The sequence below is a fragment of the Homo sapiens genome, chromosome 17, assembly GCF_000001405.40.
Source record: "Homo sapiens chromosome 17, GRCh38.p14 Primary Assembly".
NCBI classification, from domain to species: domain Eukaryota; kingdom Metazoa; phylum Chordata; class Mammalia; order Primates; family Hominidae; genus Homo; species Homo sapiens.
The window spans coordinates 66,211,994-66,229,703 of record NC_000017.11 but is presented as its reverse complement, the minus strand read 5'-3'; the positions used below and the strand labels follow the sequence as shown (position 1 = coordinate 66,229,703).

Here is a 17,710-nt window from a genome sequence, read left to right as displayed (position 1 = left end):
AAGATGGAGAATGAGAAGTCCAGGCAACCCCGGAAACAACAAGTTTCTGTCAAAAGCAATAATGAACTGTTTTGTGCCATTAACAAAAACGTTATGAAGACAGAAACCATCTCCCAAAGATTTCATAACAGAGCCACATAAGTGGAAAGTAAATGATTAAAGAATGTGGGTCTCAGAGTTCCATTCAAATCATGATACTTTATCTTCTATTTACAAAGATAAAAGTACACCAGAAAATGGTTAATGTTTAAGCGCTTTCATATTTGGCTCTGTCTTTTTAGCAGACGAAAACCACTTTGGTAGTGCCAGTGTGACTCATCCACAATGATTTCTCCAGTGCTCATCTTGTTCTCGAGTTTTCTCTGCCATGTTGCTATTGCAGGACGGAGTAAGTACTTTTTGCTTTTGAAAAAATAATTAATATATCCAACCCCTTCGTATATGTCAGGGATCAATAATGATAAGTAGGCCGGGCGTGCTTGCTCACATCTGTAATCTCAGCACTTTGGGAGGCCAAGGCAGGTGGATCACCTGAGGTCAGGAGTTCGAGACCAGTCTGGCCAACATGGTGAAACCCCGTCTTTATGAAAAATACAAAAATTAGCTGGGCATCATGGCCGAGGTGGGCGAATCAGTTGAGGTCAGGAATTCGAGCCCAGCCTGGGCAACATAGTGAAACCCTGTCTTTACTAAAAACACAAAAATTAGCCGGGCGTGATGGCAGGCGCCTGTAATCCCAGCCACTCGGGAGGCTGAGGCAGGAGAATTGCTTGAACCTGGGAGGCAGAGGTTGCAGTGAGCCGAGGTCCCCCCATTGCACTCCAGTCTGGGCAACAAGAGCAAAACTCAGTCAACAATAATAATAATAAGAAGAAGAATAATTAAATTCTTTTTTTTTTTTTTTGAGACAGAGTCTCGCTCTGTCGCCAGGCTGAAGTGCAGTGGTGCGATCTCGGCTCACTGCAAGCTCCGCCTCCTGGGTTCACTCCATTCTCCTGCTTCAGCTTCCCGAGTAGCTGGGACCACAGGCGCCCGCCACCACACCCGGCTAATTTTTTGTATTTTTAGTAGAGACGGGGTTTCACCGTGTTAGCCAGGTTGGTCTCTATCTCCTGACCTCGTGATCCACCCGCCTCAGCCTCCCAAAGTGCTGGGATTACAGGTGTGAGCAACTGCGCCCAGCTGATAACTAAATTCTCTTTAGAGTGGATGCTGGAGGGACTGGATTGATACTGATTCTTTAATATTGCCATGTGTAAAGCTCCTCTGTAAGATACGTAGCCAATTTAAGCCTCAGCATACTGACCTGTAAAATGGGGATAATTATAATACCTCCTTCAAATGGTTGTTGAGGGGATTAGATGAGATAGTGTATATGAGGTATTTGGCATGCAACTTGGTATGCTTATAATTGGTAACAGTACACACATTTTTCATTTGTGGGCTTAGCTGAACTTTAAAATGCAAATAGAGATTTGTTAACCATCTGCTTTGTGCCCTCTTTCAGCCTGTCCCAAGCCAGATGATTTACCATTTTCCACAGTGGTCCCGTTAAAAACATTCTATGAGCCAGGAGAAGAGATTACGTATTCCTGCAAGCCGGGCTATGTGTCCCGAGGAGGGATGAGAAAGTTTATCTGCCCTCTCACAGGACTGTGGCCCATCAACACTCTGAAATGTACACGTAAGTCAGTACCTTCTCTCACATTCTCTTCCCTCATTTGGATTCTGGGTATTTTGGAGGAATAAGCTACCTCGTCATGCTCAGAGTGCAGAGGGCCAGTAGATGCTGCAGAAAGCCAGGTTGGAGAGAAATGAGAAGGTCTTGGGGAGTTCTCTCTGTGCAAAGAGAGTAAGGGTAATAGGTGCTATTGATAGAAGAGGAGAAGATCATAGCCTGAAACTAGGGTAGGTTTAAAAATGAGATCTGGTGTGGCAAAAGGAGAAAGAAACACTACAGAAGTTAAAAGAACAGTGGAGAGGCTTTGAAATGTCAACTGATGCCAAAGAGACATTTGGAAAAACAAAATTTGGGGAATCATCATATCTTTGGACTTCACCTGAAAATGAAAGCGGACTTAATAGTTACTGAAATGAATACAAATTTCATCTACATTATGTATATATTATATTATAATGAAATACAAGAAAAGAGGTCAAATTAAAATAATAATATAACGTAAAATATATCAATCTCACTATGGCTTTACTGTAAATGGTTGCTTTTATTTATTTCTTAGAACATGGTTCTATGATATCATGCTAGCATTATTCTTTACAGTCAAGTATTATGCAATCAACCAGATTGAATTTATGGTACATTTAATTATATGTAGAAGTTAAGCAGTAAAAATAGATGTATGGATCTGGTGATTTTGGTTATATGAACAGGACCTTTGTCAAAGTTATGCATGTTCATGCAAGTTGATTTTACTATGCTTTTTTGCTTAAAGAGCCTAAACATAATTTTTAGTAAAAAGCCAATGTAACATCATTAGGGAAAATTTTTCTTTAAATCAGGGCCAGGTGCGGTGGCTCACACCTGTAATCCCAGCGCTTTGGGAACCTAAGGTGGGTGGATCGCCTGAGGTCAGGAGTTCAAGACCAGCCTGGCCAGCATGGTGAAACCTCGTCTCTACTAAAAATAAAAAAAATTAGCCGGGCATGCTGGCATGCGCCTGTAGTCCCAGCTACTCAGGAGGCTGAGGCAGGAGAATCACCTGGGAGGCAGAGGTTGTAGTGAGCTGAGATTGTGCCACTGCACTCCAGCCTGGGCAGCAGAGTGAGACTCTGTCTCAAAAAAAAAAATAAATAAATAAATAAAATAAAAATCAGCTATAACTCTGGAACACTAAAAATTTCATTTTTTTATTTTCCATGCATATCTTTTTGCATTACTGCAGAGAGCAGGTATAATTTTGTATTTTTCTGTTTTCATCAGCATATCATAAAAATTGTATCTCCACATATTTCACAATTCATATTTTATTGGCTACATAATAGTTCAACTTTTGATTTACCATGATTAATTAAAACAGTCCCCTGATGAACCCTTAGACTATCCAATTTTTTTTTTTTTTTTGGAGACGGAGTCTCACTCTATTGCCCAGTGCAGTGGTGCCATCTTGGCACCCTCTGCCTCCTGGGTTCAAGCTATTCTCCTGCCTCAGCATCCAGAGTAGCTGGGACTACAGGCACCCACCATCATGCCCAGCTAATTTTTGTATTTTTAGTAGAGATGGGGTTTCACCATGTTCAGGCTGGTCTCAAATTCCTGACCTCAAGTGATCCACCCTCCTCTGCCTCCCAAAGTGCTGGGATTACAGGCGTGAGCCACTGCTCCCCGCCTGTCCAAATTCTGTTATTAGGAGAAACAGTATAATGAACGCTTTTGTACATATATCACTTGTCTTATTTTGAATTGCTTTCTTAGAATAGTTACCAGTAAAGTTATTGAACCAAAGGATGAAAATGAATTTATATGTTTCATTTAATGAAAAATTCTATAAATAGAAATTTACCTGTTTATGTTTTTTTTTAGCCCAAAGAAAAGTAACATTTTTTATCTTTGTATCACAGCCAGAGTATGTCCTTTTGCTGGAATCTTAGAAAATGGAGCCGTACGCTATACGACTTTTGAATATCCCAACACGATCAGTTTTTCTTGTAACACTGGGTAAGAACTTTCATGGAACTAAGCAGTTAACAGACTGAGCACATTTTTGTATCCTTAAGCTAAACATCAAGACTGGTCTATATTTTGTTTTCAGCCTTTAGGTTGGACTTTCAAATGCAAATCGATTTTAGTCCTGCTTTTTTTTTTTTTTGAGACGGAGTCTCGCTCTGTCGCCCAGGCTGGAGCGCAGTGGTGCAGTCTCGGCTCACTGCAAGCTCCACCTCCTGGGTTCACACCATTCTCCTGCCTCAGCCTCCTGAGTAGCTGGGACTACTGGCGCCCGCCACCACGCCCGGCTAATTTTTTGTGTTTTTAGTAGAGACGGGGTTTCACTGTGTTAGCCAGGATGGTCTTGTAGCATTGAGGGTGGGGTAAGGATTGGAGAATATAACAACTAGTGCAATACGTAGTCACCACTGTATCTAATTTTTCTGCTCCTGATTAATTATCTCAGAGGAGGTACATTAAAATGATTGAACCTGGATGATAATTCCATATGATCTCTGGGCCAAATCTTGGATAGGGTTAAAATACTTTAGGAATAAGACTTGGGCTTTAGTTATTAGGCTAATTTGATTGACCAACCTGGTAGTCTCTAGAAGAGAATTCTATGGAGAAGGTTGGGAGTGTGACAGTGGAGAATGCAATGCAGTTCCACATCCCCAGGAAGCAATCACTTGTGGTGGGCACAGGCTCATCTGGGAGCAAAGGGAGGCAGTCACTTAACGGTGGGCATAGACTCATAAGGAGCAAAGGCACCCCTGTGACATTATTGAGAGCACATTGGCTATCCACTAGGGTAAGTTTCTACTGGGATTGGAGGTTAAGGAATACTACATGTGAGAGAGAAATACACACCTTTCATCTGAAACACCAATCTACCAATGGGTCTGGTAACAAATGACCTTAAGAAAATTGGCTTCGAAGACATAATGTTACATTTTTCTTTCTTTTTTTTTTTTTCCTTTCTTTTTGCTCTGTCACCCAGGCTAGAGTGCAGTGGTGCGATCTTGGCTCACTGCAACCTCCACCTCCTGGGTTCAAGCAATTCTCCTGCCTCAGCTTCCCAAGTAGCTGGGATTACAGGCGCCTACCACCACACCCAGATAATTTTTGTATTTTTAGTAGAGATGGGGTTTCACCATCTTGGCCAGGCTGGTCTTGGACTCCTGACCTTGTGATCCACCCTCCTTGGCCTCCCAAAGTGCTGGGATTACAGGTGTGAGCCACCATGGCATCCTGCTCCTTTCCTTTCCTTTCCTTTCCTTTCCTTTCCTTTCCTTTCCTTTCCTTTCCTTTCCTTTCCTTTCCTTTCCTTTCCTTTCCTTTCCTTTCCCTTCCCTTCCCTTCCCTTCCCTTCCCTTCCCTTCCCTTCCCTTCCCTTCCCTTCTCTTCCTTTCTTCTTTCTTTCTTTCTTTTTCTTTCTTTCTTTCTCTTTCCCTCCCTCCCTTCCTTCCGTCTTTCTTTTCTTTTCTTTCTTTCTTTGTCTGTCTCTCTCCTTCCTTACTTTTTCCTTCCTTTCCTTCTTTTCTTTTCTTTTTTTTTTTTTTTTTTTTTACAGGATCTTCCTCTGTTGCTCAGTCTAGAGTGCAGTGGCACAATCATGGCTCACTGCAGCCTCGACCTCCCAGGTTAAATCCTTTTGAATCCTTCCTTCCACCTCTACCTCTCGAGTAGCTTGGACTATAGGCACACACTACCACGGCCTGGTGACTTTTTGTAGAAATTGGGCCTTTGCCACATTGCCCAGGCTCAAACTCTTGGGCTCAAGTGATCCGCCCATCTCGGCCTCCCAAAGTGCTGGGATTACAGGCATGAGCCAAAGTACCCAGTCAGAATGCTATATTTTCATTGGAAATAGACTGCATTGCTTTTATTCATTGGTGTCAGTAGGCTGTAAGAAAATGAATAATGAAGATTACTCAGTTTGGTTCACTTTTGTCATCCTGAAAAAGAGATGGTTCTTTGCTTTATATTAGAAACAGTCATCTTGGCCAACTCTTTAAAGATGAGGGATTTAAGGGTTTGGATTCTCCACTCACCAGCTGTGGAACCCTGCAGTGATTCACCTGCATCATTGGTTGGGAGGCTCCATGAGCCATAGATGAGTACTAAGTTTGTCAGGAAGACAGCATTATACGATGGAAAAGAAGTCAATAGCATTAACATGAAGCAATGCTCAATGGAGAAGATATTTGAGATGTCAGTGATGGATTATTTTACTCCTTGATAGAATGAATTTTCCTTTTGCAGGTTTTATCTGAATGGCGCTGATTCTGCCAAGTGCACTGAGGAAGGAAAATGGAGCCCGGAGCTTCCTGTCTGTGCTCGTAAGTCTGTGGGCAAGGTGATCAGCTGGTTTGCCCAGAACCTTTCTGGTTTTAGCACTCAAAGTCTCACATCTGGAATCTCTTCAGTCACAGCTCAATGAGATGAATGGTCACCCTTGTGGGGGATATTCATCCTGGTATCTTGCTCTAGAAGATGAAACAACCACTTTGGAATGACAGAAGGGAAGCATTTTACTCACGGACACATTCTGTATTCTCCACCTCGCGGTCATTACTCTATCTAAGCCAGTCATTTCTGGGTGTGTTGACTCCAATGCTCTCATAGTGCTTTGGAAGTGGCTTGGATATGTGTGGCATTGGTATATCAGGGACTGTCACCACTTAACTAGAGGAACTTCTGCAAACAGTGAGATCAAACAAACATCTTCCTCCCACTCTGGAATTCATTCATTCATTTATTAACTTATTCAATAAACATGAATTGAGGATCTACTGTATGCTGGATCCTCTTGTTAGCACTGAGGCTGCAAGGCCAAAGGAGGCAGCTTTGCCTTCAGAGAGTAAGCCTAGTGACTTACGGGACAGACGAGGAGGAAAGTCACCCTCACAGTAAGCCAACAGCCCATCAAAGGGGCTTGCATCCTAGGAGCTGATTGGCATTCCTCCAAAAAGCACTGTTGTTTTTTCAGAGGATCCTCAGCCAAGCTGTCAGAGTCATCTCTGGGCTTTGCTTATGTAGGGAAGGACGTTCTTATGTTCCCCAACTTGTGATTTATACATCTTTGACCAGGAGGCCCAGGCATTTCAATACTAATTATAGTTCTTCAACATGTCAGTGAAGTCTGTCTTTAGCAAAAGCAAGAGGAGGGCAGGTGCAGTGGTTCACGCCTGTAATGCCAGCACTTTGGGAGTCCGAGGAGGGTGGCTCACCTGAGGTCAGGAGTTCGAGACCAGCCTGACCAACATGGAGAAACTCCGTCTCTACTAAAAATATAAAATCAGCTGGGCATGGTGGCGCATGCCTCTAATCCCAGCCAATTGGGAGGCTGAGGCAAGAGAATCACTTGAACCCGGGAGGCGGAGGTTGCAGTGAGCTGAGATCGCACCATTGCACTCCAGCCTGGGCAACAAGAGTGAAACTCCATCTCAAAAAAAAAAAAAAAAAAAAAGCAAGTGGAAAGTAAAGCAATTTCAAATAAATAATTGTTTAAGAAGACCTGAACAAGCAAAAACGAAAGTTTTTAAAGGACAAATTAAGTAAAATTTTCACTCAGCAGTAGGAATCACGATGGTTCCTACAGTTTTCACTTAAAACAGATTTATACCGATTATGTAAATTTGCTTCTTTATTTAGAGGTAGGGTCTTGCTCTGTTGCCCAGGCCGGAGTGCAGTGGCGTGATCACAGCTCACTGTAACTTCGATCTCCTGGGGCCAAGTGATCCTCTCAGTCTCCTGAGCAGCTGAGACTATAGATGAGCGCCACCAGATCTGGCTAGTTTTTAAAAATTTTGGTGGAGACAGGGTCTTGCTCTGTTGCCCAGACTGGTCTTGAACTCTTGGTTTCAAGCAACCTTACCTGCCTCAGCCTCTCAGGGCTCTGGGATTACAGGCGTGAACCACGGTGCCTAGCCATAAACTCACTTTCCAAAAGGGTTGTAAATAGAAAGACTGCTTGAGCTTTAATCTAATTTAAATGAGTATTTCTCATACTTGAATGCACATATGAGTCTCCTGGGCACCTTGTTAAAATGTAGATTCTGATTCAGGCACCTGCAGTGGGGTCTGAGCTTCTGCATTTCCAACAAGCTATTTTCCCAGGCTATGCCCGTGCTGCTAGCCCCTGGACCACATTTTGAGCAGCAGGGATCTAGGGAAGTCAAGGTAAATCGCATTTTGGTCAGCACTATCTTCTTTTATGCTAGTATAACTTGTTGAAGCTCCATAGTACTCAGGTCAGGGTGACAAGCCACTACTATCTCTCTGGGTTCCTGAAGCTACTTGGGTAAGCTCCATCCATACCAAGAATCCAAAAGCAGGGAGGTATTCAGCAGAAACAGACTGAACTGGTAATGGAACTCATTCCCAAACTACTATGTACCAAGTTGCTGTCACCAGCCATTATTTCAGGATGGTCCCTCAGCACTGAGGGACAAATTCTGCCTTCCAGAAGCATCTTCCAAGGTAGTATATGAATAAAAGATTTTATAAAACCTAACCATTGTGTTGTTGCAAAAGGCAGTGGCAAGACTTAAATTTCCTTCATTTTTTTGGTGTTTTGACTGGTTTGGACATCTGACTTGAGGGCTTCCTTCCTTCCTTCCTTCCTTCCTTCCTTCCTTCCTTCCTTCCTTCCTCCCTCCCTCCCCTCCCCTCCCCTCCTCTTTCTTTCTTTCCTTTCTTTCTTTCTTTCCTTCCTTTCTTCCCTCCCTCCCTCCCTTCTGACTTCCTTCCTTCCTTCCTTCCTTCCTTTCTTTCTCTCTCTCTCTTTCTTTCTGTCTTTATTTATTTATTTATTTATTTCCTTCCTTCTTTCTTTCTCTTTTCTGAGACAGACTCACTCTGTTGCCCAGGCTGGAGTGCAGTGGTGCGATTTTGGCTCACTGCAACCTCCGCCTCCCAGGTTCAAGCGATTCTCCTGCCTCAGCCTCTGGAGTAGCTGGGACCACAGACACACACCTCCATGCCTGGCTCATTTTTGTATTTTTGGTAGAGACGGGGTTTCACCATGTTGACCAGGCTGGTCTGAAATTCCTGACTTCTAGTGATCTGCCCACCTCAGCCTCCCAAAGTGTTGGGATTACAGGCGTGAGCCACCGTGCCCGGCAGGTCATATTTTCCTATTAGGCATCCACAATTGACAATTTTTACCCTGCTAATTTGATCAGTTTGCATTTTCTCAAGTTTATCCTTAGGGTTTTTTTTTTCTTTCTGGAAAGAGTATATTTAAAAGCCTTAACTATTTTCATAGAAATGATAGTTCTTTATTTTCCCAGCCATCATCTGCCCTCCACCATCCATACCTACGTTTGCAACACTTCGTGTTTATAAGCCATCAGCTGGAAACAATTCCCTCTATCGGGACACAGCAGTTTTTGAATGTTTGCCACAACATGCGATGTTTGGAAATGATACAATTACCTGCACGACACATGGAAATTGGACTAAATTACCAGAATGCAGGGGTAAGTGCAATGATCAGACAAAATACGCATGGTAGGGCAAGATCCCATTTGTGAAAGGTATTGAAAATTCTGACTATCATGGAGTGTTTCCAATGAACTCATTCAACAGCTGTTTATTGAGCATCTACCATGTGCCAGGCAGTGTGCTGGGCACTGTGGATTCCCGATGAATGAGACCTGGCTTCTGACCCAAGGGAATTATAAATAATGCAATTAACTGTCTGGAGCTGCCTGGGACAGCTTCCCATAGGTGGTGACCTTTGAAATGGGTCTTGGAGGAGCAGTAGAGAATGAGGAGAAGGCATACCACACATGGGGGAGACATGAAAGGCAGGATGTATCCATGGACAGCTGGACATTTCAGCGAGGCTGGTGAAGTTCTCTTCTGGGTGAAGTTCCTGGGTTAAATTGGAGAGTCCTAGGAGATGAAGGTTAAGACTGGGTTGCTGTCTGATTGTTACACATTTTAAAAATCTTTACCCAAGTTTAAGAATCACAGAAATATTTGATTTTTAAGAAATTATGAAAATTATTTCGTCTCTAACTTGACCTGTCATTACTATCTTCAAGTTTGTCAGCTGCATAACAAACAGACAAATTATAAAGTTTATCATGTGCACAAATAGTTTGTTTTTTTCTTTTTTTTGAGATAGTCTCACTCTGTCACTCAGGCTGGAGTGCAGTGGGGTGATTTTGGCTTACTGCCACCTGGGTTCAAGCGATTCTCATGCCTTGGCCTCCCAAGTAGCCGGGATTACAGGTGCCCGTCACCATACTTGGCTAATTTTTGTATTTTTAGTAGAGACGGAGTTTCACCATGATCATCTGGCTGGTCTGAAATGCCTGACCTCAAGTAATCTGCCTGCCTCAGTCTCTCAAAGTGCTGGGCTTACAGGTGTAAGCCACTGCTCCTGGCCAAGAGTTATTCTCGTGACTATTAACTTCTCCAGTGGTAGATATTACAGATATCCAGTGAACGATTCAAAACATAAGTGATTTTCAGCATGGAGGAGCTACCAATAACAGTAGTAACTTGTACCTTTCTGGGCACTCAACTATGGGCCAGGCACTGGTCTCCTGCTACATATGTGTCATCTGACCTCATTCTCCCAAGTCCTAAAAAGTAGGTTCCTTTTTTTTTCAATTTCACCTAGACGTATCAACTGTTAATATGTTGTAACATTTTTCTCTCTGTTTCTCCATAGAAAGATCCCTTTTATTTCCTGCATCATCTGAAAATAAGTTGTATATATTACGATACTTGCCCATAAAGCCTTCAGCCTGAATATACTAAGAACAAGGACATTTTATATCATCACTTCATATGTTTTGGATTATTAACAATAATAATCCAAACCATTCTAATAACATAACAACAACGATATCATGCAACATTTATCTCAGATGCAAATTTTCCCAATTGACCCAGAAGTATCTCTTATACATGAGTTTTGTTTTATGCAGGATCTAATCAAGAATCACACCTTTAATTTAGTTGTCATGTCTCTCTAGTCTCCTATAATAATAATTATTATTATTATTTTGAAATGGTGTCTCACTCTGTCACCCAGGCTGGAGTGCAGTGGTGCAATTTTGGCTCACTGCAACATCTACCTCCCAGGTTTGAGCAATTCTCCTGCCTCAGCCTCCCAAGTAGCTGGGAATATAGGCACCTGCCACCACGCCCAGCTAATTTTTATAATTTTAGTAGAGATGGGATTTCACTGTGTTGGCCAGGCTGGTCTCAAACTCCCGAACTAAAATGATCCGCCTGCCTCAGCCTCCCAAACTGCTGGGATTACAGGCGTGAGCCTAGTCTCCTATAATTAAGAATAAGTCCTTGCCTCTTTTGTTGTCTTTCATTGACATTTTTGAAGAGTACAGGCTAGTTGTCTTGTAGAATGTTCCATAATCTGAACTTGATTGGTTATTTACTCATGATTAGATTCATGTTAAATATTACTGTTAAGAATACATTCTGCACTTTGGGAGGCCGAGGCAGGTGGATCATGGGGTCAGGAGTTCAAGACCAGCCTGGCCAATATGGTGAAACCCCGTCTCTACTAAAAATACAAAAATTAGCTGGGTGTGGTGGCGTGCGCCTGTAGTCTCAGCTGCTCAGGAGGTTGAGGCAGGAGAATCGCTTGAACCAGGAGGGGGAGGTTGCAGTGAGCCAAGATTGCACCACTGCACTCCAGCCTGGGCAACAGAGTGAGACTCTGTGTCAAAAAAAAAAAATACATTCTGTCATATCAGGAAGCACATAGTGTCAGCTGTTCCATCACTGGCCATGCTTAGTTTGATACTTAGTCAGTTGAGGGGTGCTAGATCACCTTTTGGTAAAGGCACTGCTTTTTCTTTGGAATAGTAAGCAACCTGTGGGTGATACTTTGAAACCATGTGAATATCCACTGTTGGGCAGTCATGGTAGAATCCAATGATGATCCTTGAATCTGTCAATTATGACATTGGAGGCTGAAAAATGGTGACTTTCTAATTCTATCTTTTCCTTCTACATTTATTCACTGGCTTCCCTCTATAGAGAAGAGCTTTCCCTCCATCCACCATTTTTTAGTATTATTATAGACACATGGATTCTTATTTTTTTTTTGAGTTGGAGTCTCACTCTGTTGCCCAGGCTGGAGCATAATGGTGCAATCTCAGCTCACTGCAAGCTTCACCTCCTGGGTTTGAGTGATTCTCCTGCCTTAGCCTCCTGAGTGGCTGGGATTACAGGTGCATGCCACCACACCCGGCTAATTTTTGTTAGTAGAGATGGGGTTTTGTCATGTTGGCCAGGCTGGTCTTGAACTTCTGACCTCCTCAGCATCCACCTCAGCCTCCCAAAGTGCCAGGATGACCGAAGTGAGCCACTGTGCCTGGCCACATGAATTCTGTTTTATTTAATGTGTGGTAGAACCAAAATTGAGCCAAGCAGTCTGACTCTGGAGTTTGTACCCTTAATTACCTCCTTAAACTACCTCTGAGAATATTGTGCTCCTGGCTCCAGCCTTGCTTTCTCGCACTGCAGCTCATAAGGACGTGGGTTTGGGCCTCTACTGTTGAGGATCTTAAGGAGGCCAGGAAGCAGCACCATTTTTCTTTGACGTATTTCCTGCTGGCTTCTTCCATAGTCTGAATTGAATAACAGTAAGATTTACTATTTTAAAGCCAAATAATGGTGTACTAAGTGTGAATGGGGGGGGGGGTTCAGTCTTTGCATTTTAATTTTATGGTTTGTTAGAAATAGACTTTGCTTTTCTTCTTTCAAACCCACCATCTTAGACTGTGTAGAGATGAAGTTTGCAATAAATAATACCTTATGATTATATGTGAAAACCCAGAGAACTTAGTGAAGTCTCATTAATTTACTTTCAAAGTGTGGTTGTTTCTTTTTTAATATCCAGGGTACCACAGATATAAGAGGAGTGGGGACAGAATTAAGCACAAGGTAACTATAAATTGCATTCCAGTTACAGGAACACACAGTGATTCAGTGGTGTGACAGAGACAAGGATGTAACTATTTCATGACTATTGGATAGCACTATTTATTACTAATATGTCTTATTGAATAAATGTTTTAGAAGTAAAATGCCCATTCCCATCAAGACCAGACAATGGATTTGTGAACTATCCTGCAAAACCAACACTTTATTACAAGGATAAAGCCACATTTGGCTGCCATGATGGATATTCTCTGGATGGCCCGGAAGAAATAGAATGTACCAAACTGGGAAACTGGTCTGCCATGCCAAGTTGTAAAGGTATGGAAATATAGGCGAGGTCCTGTAAGATCTCTGAATTGATACAGTGGATCACCTTTACTTGCTATTTTCTTGTTCCAACACTTTTCCACTTGTTGCTCAGACTTGCTAGGAAACTGCTGGCATGTGACTTCAGGACTCACAGGTGCATGGGGAAGCCTCATGCTTAGGAAGTATCCTTGACCTTAAACAGTATGAAATAAACAGATCCTTTGTAAGCATTGGTGATATGGTGGGAGATCATGTGGGCTTTCTTTATTTGCTTTTAAGTCTTTGCCTCTGAGCACTCTTTTTTTTTTTTTTTGAGATGGAGTCTTGCTCTGTCGCCCAGGCTGGAGTGCAATGGCGTGATCTCGGCTCACTGCCACCTCTGCCTCCCGGGTTCAAGCAATTCTCCTACCTCAGCCTCCCGAGTAGCTGGGATTACAGGCACCCCACCACCACACCTGGCTAATTTTTGTATTTTTAATAGAGATGGGGCTTTGCCACGTTGGCCAGGCTAATTTCGAACTCCTGACCTCAGGTGATCCGCCCGCCTCGGCCTCTGTAGAGAAGAGCTTTTCTTCCATCCATCATTTTTTAGTATTATTGTAGACACATGGAGTCTTTTTTTTTTTTTTTGAGATGGAGTCTCACTCTGTTGCCTAGCTGGAGTGTAATGGTAGAATCTCAGTTCCCTGCAACCTTCACCTCCCAGGTTCGAGTGATTACAGATGTGAGCCACCATGCCCACCCCTTTTTGTGCTCTGTCTAGCCAAGGCTCTTCTCATTGCAAAAACCAACCACACATTCGAGTGAGTTCAAGGAAATTGGGGATATTATAAGGAGGCAACAGGCAAGTCGATCATGTGGGCATTGAAGATGAAGACATGAAATACAACTGATACTCCTGAAGATTGGAACTGAAAGGCAGGAACTATTCCTACTTTTTCCGTATCTCAATGGTCTCTCCCATTTCCGTCTCTCTGCTTATTCATCTTGAACATGGCTTGATATACACCAGACCCTCTCAGTTACAGGATTCATCACCAACTGGCATCTTTCCTGGAGACACTGGTTCCTTTTGAGTTAGGTGTCTACCCTTGATCCCATCAGTGTCATGCATAAGTAAAGAACAACAACAGCCTAGCATTAGAACTCTGCTCAGGTCACTATGGGCTGGACAGTTTAAGCAGAAAGAGGAACTCTGGGGCAGCAGGCAAGATGACAAATAACTAGCATCTTAGGTTACAGTTCCCTAGAAGCAGAGCCTGAGACGGGGATTCGAGTACAGTTGATTTAGTGAATGTCTCAGGAGAAGAAAGAGTGAGGCAGATTTGCGAGGGTAAGGCACCGGTTCTCAAACTTCGCTGTGGATCAGCAACACCTGGAAGGCTTGTTTTAACACAGGATTTTTGAGCTCCACTCTTAGAGTTTCTGATTTGGTAGATCTGGGATGGGGCCTGACAATTTGCATTTATGCCAGGTTCCCTGGTGATGCTAATGCTGCCGAGCCAGGGAGAAATGTGGTCTCTGCTAAAATGAGGTTCAGTTTGATCCCACTGGGAGCTCTGGAGTGTGAATTCCACCCTTGAGTTAATCCCACTAAGAGCCAAGGGGACCTGCTTTTTATATTCCCTCATCAGTCAGTCTTTGGCTTTGAGCTGCTCCCTTCCCTGACCCTGGGGGTGGTTTGCATAAACTCCTGGGAGAGGTGGCTTCCCTATGGCTGAAGGCAATTTTTCAGAGTATTTATGAGCTGTTATCAGCCAACACTCACAATGGCTGGTGGATAGATGCACCTGCTTAATGAATGCAATCTGAGAGGGCAGAGTAGGCTTACATGAAATGTCAATATCTGTTAGTTGCTTTTTTTTTTTTTTTTCACTGAAATGGAGGCTCTGATGCTTCTGTTCTGACCTTCTGTGGCTACTGTAGGGGAAGAGAAGGCCATCTTGGAAGCTATGAATAATGGTTCTATTGACAGAGAACTGCAATTAGCAATCATATTACCATTACTTACTATATATATTCTTGGATTTTTCTTGCCTTGACCAATTTGTGTAGGTGTACTCATCTACTGTTTCAAATGCTATACTCTCTTTCAGAAAGACTTCCTGAACTCTTAAGTCCTGATTACAAGTATTCTCTCTTTCAGCATCTTGTAAAGTACCTGTGAAAAAAGCCACTGTGGTGTACCAAGGAGAGAGAGTAAAGATTCAGGAAAAATTTAAGAATGGAATGCTACATGGTGATAAAGTTTCTTTCTTCTGCAAAAATAAGGAAAAGAAGTGTAGCTATACAGAGGATGCTCAGTGTATAGATGGCACTATCGAAGTCCCCAAATGCTTCAAGGGTAAGTCTGCATTGGAACGTTTAGCTAGGACTCCCACTTGCCCGTCATCATAATCAGAGCCTTTGTTCTATAATGATTGTCAAAAACCAGATGAGGCCAGGTGCGGTGGGTCACGCCTGTAATCCCAGCACTTTGGGAGGCTGAGGCGGGTGGATCACCTGAGGTCACGAGTTTGAGAGCAGCCTGGCCAAAAAGGTGAAAGTCTGTCTCTACTAAAAATACAAAAATTAATTGCTGTGGTGCCGGGTGCCTGTAATCGCAGCTACTTGGGAGGCTGAGGCAGGAGCATCACTTGAACCTGGGAGGTGGAGGTTGCAGTGAGCCGAGATCGCGCCATTGCACTCCAGCCTGGGCAACAGAGCGAAACTCCGTCTCAAAACAAAAACAAACAAAACACAGATGAATTTGGCCACTGGGTTTTTAAAAAGAGGGGTGAGAGGGAGAAACAATGATATGAAGCAGTGAGCTGCAGATGGCGTCCCCACTTGCATTTTCCTTTCCAATTTTTTTTTTTTTTGAGACAAGGTCTCACTGTCACCCAGGCTGAAGTGCAGTGTTGCGATCACATCTCATTGCAGCCTCTACTTTCTGGGCTCAAGTGACCCTTTCACCTCAGCCTTCTGAGTAGCTGAGATTACATGCACGCACCACCATGTCCAGCTATTTTTTATATTTTTATTAGAGAAGAGATTATGCCATGTTGCCAAGGCTGGTTTTGAACCCTTGGACTCAAGCAATCCACCTGTCTCAGTCTCCCAAAGTGCCAGGATTACAGGCATGAGCTACGCGCCCAGCCTCTTTTCTAAGTCTTTTCTGTAAAACTCAGGGTTGTGGTTATATTCAATGAATGCTGAGGTGAATGATGCCATCTTGTATAATTCCAAGTTGAGCTTGAATAATAATGAACCAAATATTGAATAATAAAATATCTACCTCATCTTGGTCCCACATTATAGAGAACTCACCCCAAGTGACAAAACAACTCATGGCAATGATAATTGGTCTAAAGATCTAACATTTCCCCTTTCTCAAGCAATTCGTAGAGTTTGAAAAGTATCCATTAGAGCAAAGTATCCATTAGAGCAAAATATTTTAAGGAGAATGATACCAGGTTTGTGTGAGATAAAGAAGTGTGTAATGGCCAGCGTTTAGAGCTGCTAACCTTTTAAGGTTTCAGATTTAGGGTTGAAATGTCTCTGATGCCAGAAAGTAAGAACCAGCCAGAGGCTGAAGCTGTCCTTGGCTCTAGGTTTAGAAATCTTTCAAAAACATTGACAATCTTGTTTTAGCAGGTGGGAGAGGACAGTAGGGAGCAGACAAAGCTAAGAAGAGAGGAGTCTGAGAAGTGTCCAGCTAGTGGGAGAGAAGGGAATGATAACTGATTAAAAATACCCACCTCATGGGGTTGGTTTGATTATTAGAAATATGCATGACATGGAGGAATATAATTTTAATTGTAAATAGTTACAAATGCACTGAATAAATTGCCATTATTCAAAAGACAGCAGAGCCCTGGTGAGATGTTAAATACAAAACATGACAAAATACAATAAGCTTAAATAAAAATCAGTAGAAAAAATGTGAGAAAAGAATAATTGAAAAAAGTCTTAGCTTTGTTGATATATTTCTTCAGGATCTTCTCCCTTATGGTCTTTGGACAGATGCAGTACTGTAAAGGGCCGATACTGTTTTTTCCCCTTTAATCTTGACTGTTATAGAACAGTCTTCACTGTATATAGAACCTTTAATTTTATCTCTTGAAAATGAGGATCTTGGCCAGGCGCAGTGGCTCACACTTGTAATCCCAGCACTTTGGGAGGCCAAGGCGGGCGGATCACTTGAGGTCAGGAGGCCAGCCTGGCCAACATGGTGAAACCCAGTCTCTACTAAAAATACAAAGATTAGCCAGGCATGGTGGCACGTGCCTGTAGTCCCAGCTACTCGGGAGGCTGAGACAGGAGAATCACTTGAACCTGGGAGGTAGAGGTTGCAGTGAGCTGAGATTGTGCCACTGCACTCCAACCTGGGCAACAGGGCGAGACTCTGTCTTAAAAAAAGGAAAAAGAAAAAGAAAAAGAAAATGAGGGTCTTATCATTTCCCTAATGTTTTCTCCCATCACTTAAACCTCACACTAAATGGTTTCATTCACATAATCACATGTATTCTATATACTCGTAAAATGTATTTGGTTTGGCTTAGCTATTTACCACATTTAAGAAATGATTGTTTCTCTTAGAATGTTTATCTTTTTCTCCCCCAACAGAACACAGTTCTCTGGCTTTTTGGAAAACTGATGCATCCGATGTAAAGCCATGCTAAGGTGGTTTTCAGATTCCACACAAAATGTCACACTTGTTTCTTGTTCATCCAAGGAACCTAATTGAAATTTAAAAATAAAGCTACTGAATTTATTGCCGCACCCATTGCAGTGTTAGCTTCATGGTAGCTTACTTTTAGT

The 17,710-nt window shown here is 42.7% G+C and overlaps 1 protein-coding gene across 1 annotated transcript; it reads left to right on the top strand.

The window, feature by feature from the left end:
• On the top strand, positions 289-17,671 carry APOH (apolipoprotein H). The gene is made up of 8 exons (NM_000042.3): positions 289-388; positions 1,508-1,684; positions 3,580-3,676; positions 5,930-6,006; positions 8,962-9,150; positions 12,737-12,916; positions 15,054-15,251; positions 17,516-17,671. Exons 1-8 carry the CDS (start codon positions 325-327, stop codon positions 17,569-17,571), a joined length of 1,038 nt encoding a protein of 345 aa, NP_000033.2. The 5' UTR covers positions 289-324; the 3' UTR covers positions 17,572-17,671.

Coding starts and splice junctions, on each gene's coding strand:
- APOH (NM_000042.3), top strand. CDS start 325: ATGATTTCTCCAGTGCTCATCTTGTTCTCGAGTTTTCTCTGCCATGTT. Junction 3,677..5,929: donor AGTTTTTCTTGTAACACTGG/GTAAGAACTTTC, acceptor TTCCTTTTGCAG/GTTTTATCTGAATGGCGCTG. Junction 12,917..15,053: donor TGCCATGCCAAGTTGTAAAG/GTATGGAAATAT, acceptor TCTCTCTTTCAG/CATCTTGTAAAGTACCTGTG.